Below are 20,067 nucleotides of genomic sequence, written 5' to 3'. Positions count from 1 at the left end.
CTTAATTTGTCGTCAATGAACCACCTGAATAAAAAACGTAAATATGTGACAATGAAGGTCCACGAAAGCTAGGTGCAAGATTACATGATCAGATTCTTCACAACACACAGCTAAATGAAAATACAGCTACTCTATGAACCTCAAAGATCTTTGATGACACTGCAAATGACACAAAAGCAACCTAAGCTGTATGCTTTTTTAGCATCTACTATTTAGGAGGGCCACCTTATAAAATAGATTTGAATCTCAATAAAAGTCTACTGTATCCGCAGGAAAATCCTAATACCATTCACTCACACAAATAATTTAACTATCCATTTCGAGAGGAAAGAAATATACCATGCTCTGGACGGGCGCGGTGGCTCACGCCTGTAATCTCAGCACTTTGGGAGGCCGAGGCAGGTGGATCACGAGGTCAGGGGATCGAGACCATCCTGGCTAACACAGTGAAAACCCGTCTCTACTAAAAAAAAATACAAAATACAAAAAAAATTAGCCGGGCATGGTGGCAGGCGCCTGTAGTCCCAGCTACTCAGGAGGCTGAGGCAGGAGAATGGCGTGAACGCGGGAGGCGGAGCTTGCAGTGGGCCGAGATTGCGCCACTGCACTCCAGCCTGGGCGACAGAGCATGACTCCGTCTCAAAAAAAAAAAAAAAAAAAAAAAAGAAAAGAAATATACCATGCTCTGAAATAGAAGCTACAGCTTTTCACATTAGCTCTCTAAAGGAGGTATACTCAAGCCCCTTTTCTTTATCCCACTACTAAAAAAGCACATGAGCAGTACGTCTATTTCAAACACACACAAGGAAATACGTAAAGCTCTTTTCAGAAGGAAATCATTTCCAATAAAACTCAAAATTTCTATTAACATTTAAATTATAAACCAAACATTGGCAACCCACATATATATATACACACACACACACATATGTTTGCTATGGACAAATGAAGACTGTGAGGTCATACTTTCAAATACAACTTTGGAATTAGTCACAAAAAATCAACATATATTCTCAGAAATTGTACCATTTCCTTTGGTCTACAATCCACGCTATAGGAGGTTTAATATAATATTAAATAATGTACCATTTACCCTAAAAGTAGGTTCTAGAAAACTGACTATTAGGATTGAATAACAAGGCTTTAATGGCTCAATTTTCTTATGATTATACAAACATATAAATCTTGAAAAGGTAACGCCATTTAGTAAAATCCATAAAAATAACAGTTTTGCCACAGTGCAGAGAAAAGTTCATTCAGTTTGATTCCCCATGCCCTCGACAAGCAGCTTTCTGATTAGAGCTGGAAGACACAGGCTGGGTGCAGTGGCGACCCCGTAGTCCCAGCTACTGGGGAGGCTGAGGTGGAAGGATCACTTGAGCCCAGGAGTTTCCGAACAGTCTGGGCAACATACCAAGACCCTGTCTCTTTTTTTAAACTTGGAAGACATAAAGTCTATACATTCTACACTGAATCATGAATATACTACGGAGAGTTTGTAGAAAGTAAACTTTAAAATCCCACACTCCAACATCATATATGTCCATAAGCAGGATTTGCAATTCACTTCATACTGGAGGTAAGCACCCCAGCTGGGGTCCTCTTGCCGCAGTGGTCAGGCCGTCAGAGCTGAGGCCTTTCACTGCAACAAGGGAAGTAGTCTTCGGTCCGAAACAGGACGGGGGCTTCGTAGCCGGCTTGCTGTGGCCTCGAGGGAGCAGACTTGCTAAAGAGCGAGGGCACGTTCATCGTGTGCAGGAGCTTCTTGAACGCCCTGGGGAAGGTGCCCAGCTCGGCCTCGGCCTTGGTGACCTGCTCCTCCATCCTGGCCACGCGGCCCCCCACCATCCTCACGAAGGCCTCCAGCCGGTCGATCCTGCTGTAGATGCGCCGCATCTCGGCGGCCTTCGCGTGGATGCGCGGCACGCCCTCGCTGACGACGTGGGACGAGTCGCCGCGAAGCATGTCCAGCATGCCCACGAACTCGTCCACTCTGGTAAGCAGGTCCTCTAGGCTCGCGTCCAGGGCCTCGACCTCGGGCCGCGCCCCGGCCCCGGGCAGCAGGCAGGCGGCGTAGCCCGCAGCGGCGCGGCGAAGCAGCGGCAGGTCGCGGCCCGGCGCGCCGTCCTCCGCGCCCTCGTCCTCCCACGGCCCCGAGGCGCTGCTGTGGCTCTGGGAAACAGTGCCACTGTCCCCGCTCCAGGCGGCGCCCTGCGGCTCGGCCTCTTCCGCGAGCCCCTCCGGCAGCGCTCCGCCATCCGAAAAGCTACCCTCCATGGCCCGCGACCACCCGACTGCGCAGCGCTCGCTTCCGGCCTCCGCGCGCTCACGCTCACGCACCCGCACACGCACGCACGCGCGCTCACGCCTTTGCTTCCGGCGGCCTGCGAGGGCGTCTGTTCACGCGCATCCACCTTTGTTTCCGGCCTCCCAGCGCGCTCACGCTCACGCATGCGCGCTCACGCTCACGCATGCGCGCTGCTGTTTTCTCACGCCCGAACTCACATTCAACCTTTTTTTTCTTTTTTAAGCGAAGGTATAGCAGGAATACAATACAGTGCATACATTTTAAGTGTGCACATTGATGACTTTGTACACATCCATACAACCATGCATCTTCTATCCAGACCAACAGGTAGGACATGTCCAGCACCCATGAACGTCTCCCTCCTGTCCTTCATTTCTTTTTGCTGTTTATAGTAAAATAAATGAGATAAGCAAGACGAAACACAAAAGGGATGGACCTTGACGACTTTGGATGATTTTTAAAGTCCTCAGCTTCGCCTGATTGCAAATGGCGTAAAACTAAGAAATAGTAATAGTTTCCAAGCAAATATCAAATCCAGGGTACTGCCAGAAAAAAACAAAGGTGAAGTTGAGATGTGACGGTTAAATCCTTTAAAATCTCAAAAAAAAAAGCAAAGACGGTGCCTGAGAATACCATTCAGTTAGACTAACAGCTCCTTAAAGAGATTAATGGTGTGGCTCACAGAGTCCATCAGTCAAACCACAAGGCCTCCAGAAGGCTTAAGGCTTGTTCGTCAGTATTAGCAGAAGCCCAAGATAGAGATGGACTTATCTCAAAGGGATTTGTAGGTAGCACTTTTGTTTAACGGAGTGAACCCCGATGAGATTCACAGGAGACCTATAAAGTTTTTTAAAGATAATTATATTGACACAAACATTGCAGATTGGACTGAAAGGAACAGGCCTTTGGATCCCCTCTCCCCAAACTTGTACAAGCAGGAATCAGACTGAGAAAAAGACTCATTGGCAAACACATGCCACATTTCACAAAAAAGGAAGTATAACTCAGGGCATGAAACCAGGAGCCCAGATGGTGGAACTGGGAGTCATGGAGTCCTAGACCTTGAGACTGGATGGCAGAGTTACTGTGGGCTGGCAACTTGTTTGTACTTCCAATTTCCCCCTTTTTGAACAGGAGTGGCAGTGGCTAATCTAGTCGTAGTGGAGCAGAACAGGTCTGTAGTGATTATCCTGTGCCAGCCCCACAACTGTATATTCCAGGCATGGGGGCAGAGAACTTGTCTCCTTAGTTTCAAAAGTCTACAGATCAAGAAGAATTGTACTCTAGGAGCTGAATTTAAGGAACTAAGCTCAGAAAGCCTCATCTACATCTGATCTTATTGAGAAGACAAAATTCTGGACTTAAAGCTGATGTGACAATAGGATAGTAATACCTAAAACTACATGAGATTTAAAAAAATGTAACTTTTGGGGACCTTGGATAGAGGGGAGTGTGGTTAGCACGTTAAAATGGCATGAAGAATTGGTAGTCAGGGGGCAAACTGTGATTGCTAGCCAGCCTTCAAGATGACTCCCAGTGATTTCTTACTCCTGGTATTCTCACTCTTGTGTATTCCCTCTTGTCGAGTATGTACTGGACTTAGTGACTTCATTTGCTCATAATAAACTGAAAAACACAGAAGTGATGATGTATGATTTGGACATTAGTTCATGAAAGGTAGTGTGGCATCTCTTTCCTTCCAACCTGCGAAAGGAAGATAAATCTTGGGGTCCTACAATTACTAAGCTAAAAGAAAAGTCAAGTTGGAAACTGCTTAGGGCAAACCTGCCTCACATTCTATTCACAGTCACTTCTCCGCTCACTGAGATAAATGCGTATCTGATTGCCACCTTTGGAGAGGCTAATCAGAGACTCAAAATGTCTGGGCGCGGTGGCTTACGCCTGTAATCCCAGCACTTTGGGAGGCTGAGGTGGGTGGATCATTTGAGATCACGAGTACAAGACCAGCCTGGCCAACATGGTGAAACCCTCTTTTAAAAATACAAAAATTAGCCGGTTGTGGTCGTACACACCTGTAATCCCAGCTACTTGGGAGACTGAGGCAGAAGAATTGCTTGGACCTGGGAGGCGCAGGTTGCAGTGAGCCGAGATCACGCCACTGCTCTCCAGCCTGGGCGACAGGGTGAGACTCCATCTCAAAATAAATAAATAAATAAATAAATAAAATTTTAAAAGAAAGAAAGAAAAAAAGAAACTCAATAGAATGCAACCATTTTTCTCTCATCTACCCAAGACCTGGAAGCCCCCTCCCCGCTTCAAGTTGTCCTGCCTTTGCTTTGAGTTGTCTCACCTTTCCGGACCAATCCATCGTTCATCTTAGATATGTTGATCGATGTCTCATGTCTCCCTAAAATGTATAAAACCAAGCTGTGCTCTGACCACCTTGGACACATGTCATCAGGACCTCCTGAGGCTGTGTCACGGGCACACATCCTCAACCTCGGCAAAATAAACTTTCTAAATGAACTGAGACCTGTCTCAGATATTGGGGGTTCACAAACCACTTGCTCTGGGGAAACCAGCTGCCTTGTTGTGAGCAGCTCCATGGAGAAGCCCATATAGCAAAGAACTGAGACCAACAGCTAGGGAAAAACAGCCTCTTTCCAACAACTACATGAGTAAGTCATCCTGGAAGGGGATGCTCCATCCTCATTCAAACTCAGAAATGACTGCAGCCCCAGCTGATAGGTTGACTGCAACCTCATGTAAGATACTAAACTGAAATGACATAAGATAATGCTATGGTCTGAATATTTGTGTCCTCACATCCAAATTCATATATTTAAATTCTACCCCAGAAGGTGATTGATAGGGTTTGGATGTCCTGCCCAAATCTCATGTTGAAATGTAATCTCCAGTGTTGGAGCTGGAGCCTGGTGGGAGGTGACTGGGTCATGGGGACAGATTTCTCATGAATGGTTTAGCGCCATCCCGTTTGTGCTGTTCCTGTGATGAGTGAGTTCTCGTGAGATCTAGTCATTTAAAGTGTGTGGCACCTCCTGTCACCTCTTGCTCCTGCTTTGGTCATGTGACATGCCTGCTCTCCTTTTGCTTTCCGCCATGATTGTAAGTTTCCTGAGGCCTCCCCACAAACCAAGCAGATGCCAGCACCCTGCTTCCTGTAGAGCCTGCAGAACCCTTAGCCAATTAAGCCTTTTTTCTTCACAAATTACCCGGTCTCAGATATTCCTTTATAGCAATGTGAGAACAGCCTAACACAGTGATGATATCAGGAGATGGGGCCTTTGGGAAGTGATCTGGTCATGGGGTCAGAGCCCTCATGAATGTGACTAGTACCCTTATAAAGGATATAAGGCCAGCTGCAGTGGCTCATGCCTGTAATCCCAACACTTTGGGAGGAAGAGGCAGGAGAATTGTTTGAGGCTAAGAGTTTGAGACCAGCCTGGGCAACATAGCAAGACCCCCGTCTCTAAAAAAAATTTTTTTTAAAGCTGGGTGTGGTGCCATGTGCCTGTAGCCCCAGCTACTCAGGAGGTGGAGGCTGGAGGATCACTTGAGCTCAGGAGTTTGAAACAGTGAGCTATGCTCATTCCACTGCACTTTAGCCTGTGCAAAAGAGCAAGACTTTGTCTACAAGTAAATACACAAAAGATGTATAAGAGGGCCGGGCACGGTGGCTCATGCCTGTAATCCCAGCACTTTGGGAGGCTGTGGCGGGTAGATCACCTGAGGTCAGGAGTTCAAGACCAGCTTGGCCAACATAGTGAAACCCCATCTCTACTAATAATACAAAAATTAGCCAGGCGTGATGACAGGCACCTGTAATCCCAGCTACTCAGGAGGCTGAGGCAGGAGAATCGCTTGAACCCGGGAGGCAGAGGTTTCAGTGAGCAGAGATTGTGTCACTGCACTCCAGCCTGGGCGACAAGAGTGAAACTCAATCTCCAAAAGAAAAAAAAAAAAGGATGCATAAGAGAGACCCCTTGCTCCTTCCATCCTGTGAGGACACAGCAAGAAGGAACGGTTTATGAACCAAAATACTAGCCCTCACCAGACAGAATCTACTAGCACTTTGATCTTGGACTTCCCATCCCCCAGAACTGTGAGAAATAAATTTCTTTTGTAAGCTGCCCACCTTATGGCATTTTGTTAGAGCAGCCTAAATGCACTATGACAGATAATAAATGTTTTAAAGCTGCCAAATTTTGGGTTAACTGGTTATGCAATAATAAACCACTGAAGGAATATGCTACTATTTATTCATTTTATTTATTTATTCTCCTGCTGATGAACATTTGGGTTAACTTTGGGGCTATTATAATAAAGTTGCTGTGAATATTCTCGTATATGTATTTTTATAAACAATTGCACTCAAACTCTCTTGAGTGTATAACAAGGTGTCAGTTTGCTAGAACATAGGATTGGTATATGTTTAATCTTGGTTGATACTGCCAAATAGTTTTCCAAAATTATTGTAACAACTTACATTCCCATTATTATGTGCTGAATATATGTGTCCCCCAATATTTTTTTATGTTGAAGCCCTAACCCCCAGTGTGGCTGTACTTGGAGTAAAGCAGTAAGTAAGGTTAAATAAGGTCATAAAAGTGGGGGCATGATCCTATAGCTTCATGTTCTTATAAGAAGAGACACAAGAGAGCACTCTTTCCTGTACCCCCCAACACTGCATGCACAAAGAAGAGATCATGTGAGGACTGCAGCAGGAAGGTGGTCATCTGCAATTGAGGAAGAGAGCCCTCACCTCCAGAAACCAAATTTGCTGACACCTTAATCGTGGACTTCTGGCCTCCAGAACTGTGAGAAGATAAATGTCTGTTTTTAAGCCAACCAGTCTATAGTATTTTGTTATGGTGTCCAGAGTAGACTAAGACATCCATCAAGAATGTATAAGAGTTCCAGTTGTTCCACATCTTCCCCAACACTTGGTATTGTATTTGAAATTTTAGTCATTCTAGTGGATGTACAGTGCTTCCTCATTGTGGTTTTCATCTGCATTTCCCTGTTGAATCATGACGTTGAACACCTTTTCATATACTTATTAGCCATTTGAATATTCTCTTTTGTTAAGTACCAGCCTACGTCTTTTGCCCATTTAAAAATTTTGTCTTTTCCTTCTTGATCTGTAGGAGTTCTCAATATATTCTGCATATGAGTCCTTTGTCAGTATAACTATTGAAAATATCTTTTTTCACGGTGTCTTGCTCTTTCCCTCTTCATGTTTTTTTGATGAACATCTGCTAGAATGTTGGTGTTTGCAAAACTGTTTCACGCATGTCATCTTACAAATCCCTCTTCCCACTGACAGATATTCAGGCTGGGGCCATTGGTCTTTATCAGACTGGAAAACTGAAGCTCTGATCTGTGGCACTTGTGTTAAGAAGGATGCCCCCTCTACACACACTCATATTACTACTAGTGTGGCACTGGGTGGCTAAGCCTAGCAACAGACTTCCTCCATTCCACAATGGCATTAGGTTAGTGATCAAAATGTACTGACCATCAAAGCCACATTTACTAGGTCCCTGCTGATTTTCAGGTCCTGTGTGTGGAGGGACATAAAGGTGATCAAGACCAGAACCTGTCCCCAAACAGCCTCCAGTCTGGTAGAAGCACTTATGTACTAGAGAAGAATTCCTCTCTCTAAAGCATCCCCTAAGACCCTGCTTGACGCCAGGCTGACAGGAGGGGCGGAGGACAGAACTGAAACAGAAGTAGCCCTTTACCTTGAGGACCTTACAGACTGGCGAAGAGAGACCAAAAACCACCGGCCAGAATCACCCAAGGCAGCGAGAGAATTTCCCCCCAGGACAAAAGTATGAGCCAGGGGTGGGGAGGACAGAAGGACGTGTTCCATTCTAAAACAGTGAGCAGGGACTGTGGACCCACATTGCTCTGGGCTCAAATCACGACTTTTAGCACGGTTTTTACCTCTAGGTTCGTTGTGAGGGCTAAATGAATTCATATAAGTTAATTCAAGCTTGTGCATGCTTAGATAGTAAGCGCTGTGAACGCCAGCCAGTCTTATTCAAATATAGGGAAGGGAGGGTCACTTTTACTTTTAAAAAATAATAAAAGTAAAAGCCCGCTGAAGGGAAGCTTTAGATGAAGACGCGAACAAACCTGCCGCCACCGATCTAAATTAGAGGGCGAGGAGGGGCGCCGGGAAGCAGCTGGTGATGGACGTGCGCGCGCCCGAGGCCCCTTTACGTGCACGCGCCCGCTACCTGGTCTTGCCGAAGGCGTGACCGTAAAGGGGCCCGGCTCTGTCGTGAAAGGGCCGCAAAAAGGCCGAGGGCGAGTTGACGGCTGCGACTCCATTTTGTAGGCCGCTTATTTGTGTGCATCCACGGCGATTCTTCCCGCAGAGTTGTGAAGCGAAAGGCTTACAATTAAAAGGAAGAAAAAAAAATAAAGATAATTCGGGAGTACAATTGACAAAGCGTGTGGGTCGCTCAGCCTCCAGCAGTAACTGCTGATCTCCAGTTCTTGGAGGGTTCCGGTGAGAAGAACGCCCCTACTGCGGTACTGAGGAAGCGGCAGGAGGAGATGCGGCCCCTGGACATAGACGAGGTGGAAGCGCCTGAGGAAGTGGAGGTGCTGGAGCCCGAGGAGGATTTCGAGCAGTTCCTGCTCCCGGTCATCAACGAGATGCGCGAGGACATCGCGTCTCTTATACGCGAGCACGGGCGGGCGTACCTGCGGACCAGGAGCAAGCTGTGGGAGATGGACAATATGCTTATCCAGATCAAAACGCAGGTGGAGGCCTCGGAGGAGAGCGCCCTCAATCACGTGCAGCACCCGAGTGGCGAAGCCGACGAGAGAGTGTCGGAGTTGTGCGAGAAGGCTGAGGAGAAAGCCAAGGAGATTGCGAAGATGGCAGAGATGCTGGTCGAGCTCGTCTGGCGAATAGAGAGAAGCGAGTCTTCTTGAAGGAGGAGATCGGTGGTAAGGTCGGAAACTAGCTGGAGCTTGGATGAAACTCAGTAGTCGCCCTAAGCATGGTTAAACCGCGCCCTGTAAAAAGTTATGTTCTAGGCCTGCATCCCCCATTTTATTGCATCAAAAATTGAGCATTGGGAACAAAGTTGGGGTCAAGAGGAAAGAATGCGTGCTGGTTTTGTTAGGCGTTAGTATACCGTTTTTTTGTGGCCTCTCCCTCCCACGCTGTTAATTAGAGAAAGATAACAGTAACTTCGGTTTTGTTTTTGTGAAACATAAAAGTCAATTCTAATAGGGCAGTCGCCAGAAGTAGACCTGTCTAGGCACTAAGGGAGTTTGGGGAAAGCCAAAGAAGACCTAGGCCATAGAGCACAGTGGAACGCAGGCTGAGAACGCAGGGAAGGAGAAATAAAGAGTAAAGCCAGAGGCCATTACCTGAAATTTCCAGATTGTTCTATGAGACAGGTATGTCAGAGGACCGTGTCTCAAAGAAGTGGCATTCTTCTGGGTGGTTCACATTTATTTTTAACATCAGGATATGGAACTTTGAGAGTCAATGTCTTCATGGTAAATTTCTCCCAATTGTGCTTTAGGTTCACAGCTGAGGACTGTAGTCAACTGGTAAGGATGAACTGACACCTTGAGGAAACTGAAACAGCTTGTCATTTTCTCTGTTTTGTTTTTGTATGTTTTTTACCCCGATGTAACAGTCTCCCTTATGGTCAGTGATTGATGACCTCGATATGGATTTAGATTATCAAATGTGTTTGGTTTTGGAAATATAACTTTTGTCAAAGAAATACTCTCAGAAGAGAAATGGGGCTTAATTAAGTTGTTTTTGTGGTCACGTTTATTCTTGTTACTTCGCTGTGTTTTTGAAATGTTGGGCATGGCCTCGTATTTTGCTGTTACCTTTGTGACCTGATTGTTTTTTGGAACACGTCAAGACGTGGGATCAGAATCTTCCAACTTTAGAGGTGCAATGGAAGACACTACGCTACTTGGTTGAGCCTGGTGAAGAATGTATTAATGAGACTGCTTTGCATAAAACTGGGAAGAAAGAGAAGACAGTTGGAGATGGAAGATGGTTTTGTATATATTTTGGAACTTTAGTTCCTCTGTGAGACGAAAGAGGAGAGCTATGTTTTGTGGCACATTGTCTGATATATATTGTGTAACCTGTCAGGTGAGTTGATTTAGACAACATAGCTGACCTTTTATGACAAGGCAGTTTGAATAGGGACTATTGTAATACCCTCACACATTATAGGGGCATCAGAGAATGGCATGGAAGAGACAGTCTACAGAGAGCTTTAAGAGGCCGGAGAAAGGAAAAGACATTATCAGGGCCTGGAAAGTCTCTTCCAGTTCATCAGGGTAGTAGACCTGTCAGATTGGAGGTCAAAGTCAAAAGTATAATAAGTGTTAATTTGCCTTGAAAAACAAAGACCTAAAAAGCCTTTTTTAAGAAATAAATTTTTTGTTCACATGACCAAAGCCCCTCCTGTGTGTGTTAATAAAAGAATCATAAACAAATTTTTTTGGAATGGATGTTCTTCATTGAGTGTCATCAAATGGGGTTGAACTGCTTGTAGTTAAAGGCTCTTGGTAAGCCTTTAACTGAGGGAGAATTATTTCTGGAAGGTGCTATGGAGATGAGCTGACAGAACACTCAGTTCTGAAGAGAAAAACTTTCGGCCATCCTCTGGGCCAAGCCCCTGCTTTTCAGCAGCGGAAGTGTGTTTAGTTAACCAGTGGGAATGTAACTTGCTTCATATCCTATCCAAGGCACTAGGAACGTAAAGGTGAAGACATGGATGGGGCGAATATGTGGGACAGAAATGGAAACAAGGAATTGTGACATAGAGTGCGTGGATATCTTGTGGGATCCCTGAGGAGGGAGTCAACTCTTCGTAGGGAAGTGTGAATTCAGAGCAGGTGACTTACCTGGACCTGAAAAGTAGAAATGAATGAAGGCATATAAGGGACAGGGATCAAAGTGAGCAAAAGCCTTTCCAGTTCCAGCACTGGGGAGATGGCCATTGAGCTGGATGTTAAGGAGTGTGGAGGGGGTTGTGGGAGACAGAGTGAAATTGGCAGGCAGGGCCAAGAGGTCTTCCTTAAGGTGTTAATTCATCGATTCATAAGCCTGTACTTCAGTGAGATTTCTTCACCCTGGAATGTTTCTTCACAGAGTGCTAATGGATGCTCAGAGCCATAGTGTAGGCATGGTACAATTTCCAGAATTACTAAATCTAATTTCATAAAAATAGATACATGATCATAACAAGCTCAGATACACGTTTTGGATTAATGTGTAAAATAGGCATTTTAAAAATCAAGTACCTGAGCACAGAAAAATTACAGAAGCTGTTTCTGGCTTTGTCATGATATCTAAGATCCTTGCTCATGTGCCTGCCTGTCTGGGTTCTTCAGTAAAAACGAGAAGTATGGCTGGGGAGCCATAATTTCTGATAATCAGGAGAATGACCGTCACATTTGTAGTTTAGGAAGATTACCCAAGACTGGGTATGGATTAATGTGAGTTTGAGTGTGGGCTAGAAGATAGGGGCAGGTGCAGAAGTAGAGATGGGAAGTGAGGGCCTGAACTGGGGCAGAATGAGTGGGAAGGACCAGCTAGGCTTTTCTGGAGCCAAGACTTGGGGTCTTTCTATATCAGTCAACTAGACTAAACTGCTGTAACAGTTCACCCCAAAACCTTAGTGGCTTGCAACACCTGAGGATTTTTTTTTCTTATTCATATTGATGTATTAATACATTGTAGGTGAGTTGTTCCATATTCTCTTAATTCTAGGAGCTGGCTGAAGGAGCAGCTGCTCTTTGGGATATTGTGGATCTTGATTGCGAAAGCTGTTATTTACAAGTTACCTGACGGATTTAAAAACATGCTTTGGGGGTGAAAAATCTGAGTCCTGTACATACACACTCGTAGACACACACACATACTATATATGTGCTACATACATACACGTGTGCATATATACTATGTATATGTATGTTTTTCCCCTCGATTAACTGACCATAGATTATATTCATACATAGGATTGCATTTCATCTCTTCAGTATCCTAGGGTTTTTTTTTTTTTTTTTCCTAAGCCTCCTTCAAATTTACAGCCTAAAGAGTGTTCTGAATCATTTTTGAGCCTTGGCTCTTAGGCAGAGCATTGTAGTGACAGGCTAATTGTCTTAACCCATGCTGTGATGAAAAAATAATTTAGATACATTGAGAGTTTTGTCTCTATTTCCTATTTAACTTACACATTTTCTTTTCATTGAATGATGTGTCAGTGGAATTTTAACAACTTCAAAGTCATCTAGAAAATTTGGATTGGCTTCTGTTAGTAGCTCTGAAAGTCATTGGTCTGTCTTGTGTGAGTCATTCACGCCCAAACTCCCCTTGCTCTAAAATCTGAAATTCTGTGCTTTCTTCCGAAAGACTGGGCAAATTCTTTAACCTTCACTTGCATCAGCTGGCTAGTGATGGCTGAGTCTTCAATAATGTTTTGTTTGACTGCTTTATCCCAGAGTTTTGTTTTTTCTGAAAATGTTTTTAATGTGCAATATCCATATGGCTCACTATGCCACTTTTCCAGTCTCTGCTCAGATGTTACAATACCAGAGAGGTCTTCCCATGCCACTCTTTTTAAAATAGCACGGCCATCCCCTATTACTCTCTGTCTTCTTACATTTTTCTTTTCACTACTTAGTGTGTGATTATTTGTGCATTTTCTGACTTCTCTGTAGAATGTCAGCCCCTTGAGGGCAGGGACTTTATTCACTGCTGAATTCCTAGCACTTAGACCAGTGCCTGGCACCTGGTTGGTATCTAATACTCATTGAATGAATAAGTGCCAATTAAGTATGTAAATTAACTTAATTGTGTCTGCTACCAATGCACATAACTCAGGTGAATTTTCTGAGCCTGAAACTTCAGTGTCATTCTTGACACCCCTCCTCAGCAATCCCCTCTCCATTCCTTCTACCACTAGTTTGTTGGTTCTGCCTAGAATACACCTTGGATTCATCTACCTTCCTTCCTACTCCAAGCCACTAGTGTGACAGTCTCCTAACTGGCCTCCCAGCTTTCAGTTTTATTCCAATCCTCCTCCTTCACAAATTAGCTAGAGTGAATTAGGTTATGTCAATTCCCTGCTTGAAACTCTTAAAAAAATTTTTTTTTGCCACAGATGTTTTTATTTATTCATCAGCATTAACTTAGCTCCTACTATATACCAGGCACTGTTCTAACTACTGAGAGATACAGTACTGAACAGATAGTCCAAAAATTCTGCCTTCTGGGGATTCATTCTAGTGGTGGAGAAACACAATAAGCAAGATAAATAAGTGCTAAAGCTATTTCATGTATTCAACATATGTAGTAGAATATATTCAAGAATTTCTGCCATCTCCAGAGCTGTCTCATCCTAGTTTTCCTCAGTCACCCTAAATTTAAACGCCCTCCCTGGTCCTCTCCCAAATTTTCATCTTCAGAATGTTCCAACTTTCCTGCCTCATGACTTGTCTTCCACCTCTTTGCAAATTTCCTCTAATACCTACCTCATCCAAGGTCTGGCTGTCTCTGAACCCCAACCTCTACAGCCTCCACGTGCAACTCCCCTAAACACTATCAGCTTTCTGGGTGAAGCCACAGAGAATATGGATACTGACGTGCGTTCAGGGCTGCAATGTGTTAGGCAGTTGCAATTTCTTTAAAATGTGCCATGTCTATGTTTGTTTACAGTCAGTTGTCATTATTTGCAGTAGTTATATAAAGTCACCATAAACACTGAATTAGCAAATACTATAATACTTCACTGCCCCTAAGTAAAATAGAGGATTAGGTTCCCATTAGCCCCTGGCTGCATTTTTCATCAGCTGATCCATACGTAACCATGTTTAACCTTGTGTTTCTGTTTAAAGACATCATAATTAACATATATTATTGATTCATTAATTTTGAACTCAAAGCCAGCAGCACTGTAACTCATGCCTCAATAAAGCTTGTCTAACACATATTTTCTCTGTAAGGCACATCACAGCCGCCTTATGCTTAGGCACACTAGACAGTGCTCTGGCATGAGACTTGAGGGTCATTTTAAACAGCAAAATAACCAACAAAAAGCACCAAAATGAGAAAAATGTGGCACCGAGTAGACTGTGAAAAGGAACTTGTTTACAGCATGAGAGCTGAAACAAGAAGGCAGAGTCACCTTGTTTGACCCCAACTGGGAATGTCAGATGACTCAGATTTTTTGCTGCCCTGCACGTGTCTACAAATGACTAGCAAAGTGCCAAGAGTGTTGATTTTGGGGTTCCATATAGATTTTAGAAAGTAGATGAATTTGCAAATACAAAATAATGAATAATGAAGATTGACAGGATACACACACACATAATGATGTAGGTGTCCTGGTTGGGGAGTGGGAAGCCATGGTGCCCAGATCAGGGCTCAGAGCTCAAGAATGGTAGAGAAGGCATCCCCATGGTGGGAAGTAGAGGGGGTCAGAGCCTGGTGTGGGAGTCAGAGTCCTCTGAGCAGGGTGAAGAGGGTATCTGTGTGTGTATGGTTTTGCTTTTTTTTTATTTTTATATTTATTTATTTATTTATTTATTTATTTATTTATTTTGGCAGTGGATGGTCTCCAGTGTGGACAGACCAGATTTGAGCAGTGTGAGCAGGACATCCATTTGTGGGTAGGTTTGGGGGAAGGGAAATCTAGCCTGGGAGGTCAGAGCCCAGGCAGGGTGAGGAGGGAGTTCCCAAGGGGGTGTTCTGGGGCATGAGCCCCGTGGGATGAAGAGAGCATGCACACATGGGGACAGTTGGTGCAGTTTGAGCAGGGAGAGATGGGCATCCATAGAAGCCAGTCCTTCACCTGACTCAGCCTGAAAGGCAAGGAGGGTGTCTGTGCAGGGGACAGACTGGTATGGGGTTCAGAACCTGAGCAGGGAAAAGGTTTCTGCAGGAGACCAGGTACCAGCAGAGGGGAAGAAATGTAAAAAGAAAGCTAGAATGGACCCTGTGGTATTATGTTGAAAATGGAAGTCTCTGTGTGAACTTGAATGGAAGTCTCTGTGTGAACTTGTGGTTACAAACATACAAACACACACACACTTCAGATATCTATAAGATATAGAACTATAGGTATGTGTAGCCATCTAAAGTTATGTATTATACTTACAAATATTCTCTACTTATTTCCATTAAGAGAGGCTGGGGGCAGTGACACTTCAATAACAATGAGCACACCTAGCTCCCAGATCTTGGCTTCTAAATAGCATTTTCCATTACAAGAAACTAGGGCTGCTTGGAGAAATGGCCAGTTCCAGAGCTAGGGCAAGCAAAGTACGAAATGTGTCTAGAACATCTTGTGATGACAGAAGGCAAGGATGTGTTCAGAGAATGTTGAGAACATGTCAGAGGGTAATAGAAGCCAGCTGAAATGGGCTCCCATTGATCAGATCAGGGACAATGTGAGCATCAGAACAGATAATGCTAGTAACAGGTTACAACCCACTGAATAATATGGGTAACCAGGAGTTCACAAATGTGAATACATGAATAAATTAAATGCTTGATGAGGAACAGAATATATACATAGTTTCAAAATTCCTCTCTAAAAATACTTATTAAAAAGTGGCCAGGCCTGGTGGCTTACACCTGTAATCCTAGCACTGTGGGAGGCTGAGGCAGACAGATCACTTGAGGTCAGGAGTTGGAGACCAGCCTGGCCAACATAGTGAAACCCCATCTCTACTAAAAATACAAAAATTAGCCGGGCATGGTGGTGGATGCCTGTAATCCCAGCTACCCAGGAGGCTGAGGCAGGAGAATCGCTTGAACCTGGGAGGCGGAGGTTGCAGTGAGCTGAGATCACGCCAATGCACTCCAGTTTGGCAACAGAGTGAGACTCCATCGCAAAAAAAAAAAAAAAGACATAGAACAATTGGCAAACTTGAATGAGGGCTTAAGATTCAATGGTAGTGATGTATCAGTGTTAATTTTCTCACTTTGATGGTGGCATTGTGGTTATTAGGAGAATCTTCTGTGGAGGATTCTCTCCACTAATGCATTGAGGGGTGGTGCATCAGCTTATTCTTAAATCATTCAGAAAAATAGTTATTTGTACTGTACTTCTAACTTTTCCGTAAGTTTGTTATTTCTGTACGTTTCAAATTTTAATTCAGAATTGTTGGCCAGGCGTGGTGGCCCACACCTGTAATCCCAGCGGTTTGGGAGGCTGAGGCAGGCGGATAGCCTGAGCTCAGGAGTTGAGTTCGAGACCACCCTGGGCAACATGGTGAAACCCGTCTCTACTAAAATACAAAAAATTAGCAGGGTGTGCTGGCGGGCACCTGTAGTCCCAGCTACTCTGGAGGCTGAGGCAGGAGAATCGTTTGAACCTGGAGGTAGAGGTTGCGGTGAGCCGAGATTGCGCCACTGCACACCAGCTTGGGCTGCAGAGTGAGATTCGGTCTCAAAAAAAAAGAAAAAAAGAATTGTGCTTGTTGAGCAGTTAGGTAGGCCATGGCAATCCCAGCACCCAAACATCTGACATTCTGGAGGGGTGGAAATGCGCTGGCTAGGTAACCGAGGGAGCTTAGCCCGAGGAGCAATTCTGCAAAGCAGCTGCAGGGGGCGCTTGCGAGAGCCCAAGAGCCAGGAGAGCCTCAGGTGGCTGCCGCTCCTACAGGAAAGCATCACAAAGGAGACTGGCTGCCTATTGGTTTCCAAGCAGGGCAGTGGAGAAACACTTGGTTAAATGTTTTGTTTAAAAAAGAATTATAGGCCGGGCGCGGTGGCTCACGCCGGTAATCCCAGCACTTTGGGAGGCTGAGGCGGGCGGATCAGCTGAGGTCAGGGGTTTGAGACAAGCCTGGCCAATATGGTGAAACTCCGTCTCTACTAAAAATACTAAAATTAGCCGGGTGTGGTGGCGGGCGCCTGTAATCCCAGCTACTCGGGAGGCTGAGGCAGGAGAATCACTTGAACCCGGGAGGCAGAGGTTGCAGTGAGCCGAGATCCCGCCATTGCACTGCAGCCTGGGCGAAGGAGCGAGACTCCGTCTCAAAATAATAATAATAATAATAATAATAATAATAATAATAATAATAATAAATAAAAATTCTGGCAGTAACCCAACTGTCCATCAGCAGATGAATTAGCAAGATGAATTAGCAATTAGCAAGTTTGGTGTATACACGTAGTGGACTATTCAGCCTTATAAAGGAAGAAATTCTGACACATGTTACAACACGGATGAACGTTGAGGACATGATTCTGAGTGAAATAAGCCTGTCCCAAAAGGACAAATCCTGTGTGATTGCAGTCATATGACGTTCCTAGAGTCAAATTCATAGAAACAAAGTGGAATCGTCAGGACCAGCGGCCAGAGAAGGAGAGGGAGAGTGAGGGTTTAGTGGGGATAGAGTTGTGGTTTTACAAGATGGAAAGAGTTCTGGAGACTGACCTGCACCACAACGTGAGTATACCTAACACTGCCGAACTGTACACTTGGAAATGGTTAGGATGGTACATTTTATGTTGACACCACAATAAAAAATTACCCTTTGATCCAGTCATCCTAGGTAAAAAATGGAATTTGATTTTGAGAAATTATCTGAGCTTAAGACAAAGCTTTGGCCACGCACAGTGGCTCACGCCTGTGATCCCAACACTTTTGAGGCTAAGGCAAGAGTGTTACTTGAGGCCAGGAGTTTGAGACCAGCCGGGGCAACATGGTAAGACCCCATCTTACAAAAAAAAAAAAAACCCCAAAAGACAAAGCTTTATACATGAAAATGTTAATTGTAGCATACTTTCTAAAAACAAAAATAGGAACATACATTCTACAAAAATATGAAGAACAGTATCTTTAACAATGAGCAAACGATGGTACCCTCATTCCAATAAATTCCTTGTAGCCATTAAAAAATACTGTTTAGGGGCTGGGTGCACTGATTCACACCTGTAATCCCAGCATTTGGGGAAGCTGAGGTGAGAAGATCGCTTGAGCTCAGGAGTACCAGATCAGCCTGGGCAACATAGTGAGATCCCTGTCTCCACAAAAAAATAAAAAACAATTAGCCAGGTGTGGTGGCACATGCCTGTAGTACTAGCTACTCAGGAGGCTAAGGTGGGGGGATCACTTGAGCCCAGGAGATCAAGACTGTAGTGAGCTGTGATCATGCCACTGCACTTGAGCCTGGGCAACAGAGTGAGACCCTGTCTCAAAAAAACAAAAAACAAAAAACAACAACAACAACAAACCCTACTGTTTGGACCTGGCTTTTGCTTCATGCAGAGTTGGTATAAACTCCGGAGAAGTGACTGTGGACTTTACCTCCAGGAACGAGGCATCTGCAGGCTGCTCAGAAGACCCTGAACAGAAATCAATGATGGAGCACCATGGGAGGCTGGTCTCCTGGGGCAGGGAATTGAATTCCAAACCAGACGTAATCTACCATTTGGTGCAGGGCAAGAAGCTAGGATGAAATGAATGAAAGATTGAGGAGAGATGAAAGAAAGATTGAGGAGGGATGGGCCCTGTTGTCTCTATAAGGAGAGGTCAGGAATTACCAAGACCTGTCAGAGATAACCCAGGAAGGACACCCAGAGGAAGTGGCACGCTGTTGTTTTCCTGCTCCAGTAGTCTGGGTTTTTAGTCACAAAGCACAGAAATTCAGCCTAGGTGATTGATTTACAAAAGACTTGTCTCCTTCAAGAGTCCTGGAGGACGAGGTTCATAGCTACGTAGCCAGAAACCTCTCATATGGCGCTGCTGCAAAACCCATAAGAGGTTTTTCAGGTCTCTGCCTGTTTGTGTCAATTGTCCGATTGCAAGTCTGGGGTGAGAATAAAGTCTGGGAGAGCCCAGGTCAGGTGCCTGCACCCCAGCTATGACAGAGGCTGGGGAGTGAGGGCTCTGCCTCCCCCCAGAACTGATAAGCTGGGTGGTTTGTCATTTATAGGACGGTAACTAATTTGTTAAACAGCAAGAAAAAAGAAAAACAGGCTGAGCATGTGGCTCACGCCTCTAACATCTACACTTTGGGAGGCTGAGTTGGGAGGATCATTTGAGCCCAGGAGTTCAAGACCAACCTGGGCAATATAGCAAAACCCCGTCTCTACAAAAAATTAGCCAGCCGCGATGGTGCGTTCTTGTGGTCCCAGCTACTTGGGAGGCTGAGGCAGGAAGATTGCTTCAGCCCAGGAGTTTAAGATTGCAGTGAGCCTCGAGACCATCCTGGCTAAAATGGTGAAACCCTGTCTCTACTAAAAATTACAAAAAATTAGCCAGGCTTGGTAGCAGGCACCTGTAGTCCCAGCTACTCGGGAGGCTGAGGCAGGAGAATGGCGTGAACCCGGGAGGTGGAGCTTGCAGTGAGCTGAGATCACACCACTGCACTCCAGCCTGGCCGACAGAGCAAGACTCCGTCTCAAAAAAAAAAAAAAGATTGCAGTGAGCCACGATAGCACCACTGCATTCCAGACTGGGTGACAGGGCAAGGCCGTCTCTCAAAGGAAAAAAGAAACAAAGATTTCCATTCTGGCAGTCCACCCCTTTTGTTTCCCCCATTATTAACTTTACTTCTCCCTCATTATTAGTTTTTACTTTATTTAAATGTGTGTATCTGCTCCCATCTAACCTAACACGACTCTCTCTCTAGCAAAAATATTTGCAATCTGCAGTCCCTTCCCCAAAGAGGGATCCACCCAAGCCTCGTATTGTTGTGTCCACCTCCAAGTTCAGGATCTTTTGGTGATAGATCTTCTCTAGTGAAAATGTCTTCAA

At 44.8% G+C, this 20,067-nt stretch overlaps 2 protein-coding genes and 1 long non-coding RNA gene across 3 annotated transcripts, besides 5 other annotated features; 1 reads left to right on the top strand and 2 right to left on the bottom strand.

The window, feature by feature from the left end:
- Positions 1-822: 822 nt before the first annotated feature.
- BLOC1S4 (biogenesis of lysosomal organelles complex 1 subunit 4) lies at positions 823-2,313 on the bottom strand. The gene has a single exon (NM_018366.3). The coding sequence runs from the start codon at positions 2,275-2,277 to the stop codon at positions 1,624-1,626; it is 654 nt and encodes a 217-aa protein (NP_060836.1). The 5' UTR covers positions 2,278-2,313; the 3' UTR covers positions 823-1,623.
- Positions 1,272-1,911: an enhancer, noted in NCBI's record as "H3K27ac hESC enhancer chr4:6718303-6718942 (GRCh37/hg19 assembly coordinates)". NCBI's record gives its function as "activates a minimal SCP1, AML or CMV promoter by ChIP-STARR-seq in primed H9 embryonic stem cells {active_cell/tissue: H9 hESC(primed)}" and the evidence as "EXISTENCE:reporter gene assay evidence [ECO:0000049][PMID:30033119]".
- Positions 2,064-2,113: a silencer, noted in NCBI's record as "silent region_15236". NCBI's record gives its function as "represses an Ori minimal core promoter by ATAC-STARR-seq in GM12878 lymphoblastoid cells {active_cell/tissue: GM12878}" and the evidence as "EXISTENCE:reporter gene assay evidence [ECO:0000049][PMID:35858748]".
- Positions 2,394-2,593: an enhancer, noted in NCBI's record as "active region_21262". NCBI's record gives its function as "activates an Ori minimal core promoter by ATAC-STARR-seq in GM12878 lymphoblastoid cells {active_cell/tissue: GM12878}" and the evidence as "EXISTENCE:reporter gene assay evidence [ECO:0000049][PMID:35858748]".
- On the bottom strand, positions 4,342-8,552 carry LOC105378240 (uncharacterized). Its single transcript, XR_001741568.3, has 3 exons — positions 8,432-8,552; positions 4,620-4,676; positions 4,342-4,463 (listed from the first exon to the last, which is right to left on the bottom strand). It is a non-coding gene; the product is annotated as an uncharacterized LOC105378240 (long non-coding RNA).
- MRFAP1L1 (Morf4 family associated protein 1 like 1) lies at positions 8,622-10,786 on the top strand. The gene is made up of 2 exons (NM_203462.3): positions 8,622-9,256; positions 9,844-10,786. Exon 1 carries the CDS (start codon positions 8,858-8,860, stop codon positions 9,239-9,241), a length of 384 nt encoding a protein of 127 aa, NP_982287.1. The 5' UTR covers positions 8,622-8,857; the 3' UTR covers positions 9,242-9,256; positions 9,844-10,786.
- Positions 8,658-8,947: an enhancer, noted in NCBI's record as "active region_21261". NCBI's record gives its function as "activates an Ori minimal core promoter by ATAC-STARR-seq in GM12878 lymphoblastoid cells {active_cell/tissue: GM12878}" and the evidence as "EXISTENCE:reporter gene assay evidence [ECO:0000049][PMID:35858748]".
- Positions 8,971-10,170: an enhancer, noted in NCBI's record as "BRD4-independent group 4 enhancer chr4:6710044-6711243 (GRCh37/hg19 assembly coordinates)". NCBI's record gives its function as "activates an origin of replication core promoter dependent on BRD2, P300/CBP, MED14 and CDK7 cofactors, and independent of BRD4, by STARR-seq in HCT116 cells {active_cell/tissue: HCT116}" and the evidence as "EXISTENCE:reporter gene assay evidence [ECO:0000049][PMID:35650434]".
- Positions 10,787-20,067: the final 9,281 nt, after the last annotated feature.

The sequence above is a fragment of the Homo sapiens genome, chromosome 4 (genome assembly GCF_000001405.40).
Source record: "Homo sapiens chromosome 4, GRCh38.p14 Primary Assembly".
NCBI classification, from domain to species: Eukaryota; Metazoa; Chordata; class Mammalia; order Primates; family Hominidae; genus Homo; species Homo sapiens.
Note: the sequence above shows the minus strand (reverse complement) of the source record. Positions and strands in the feature narration are given on the sequence as shown.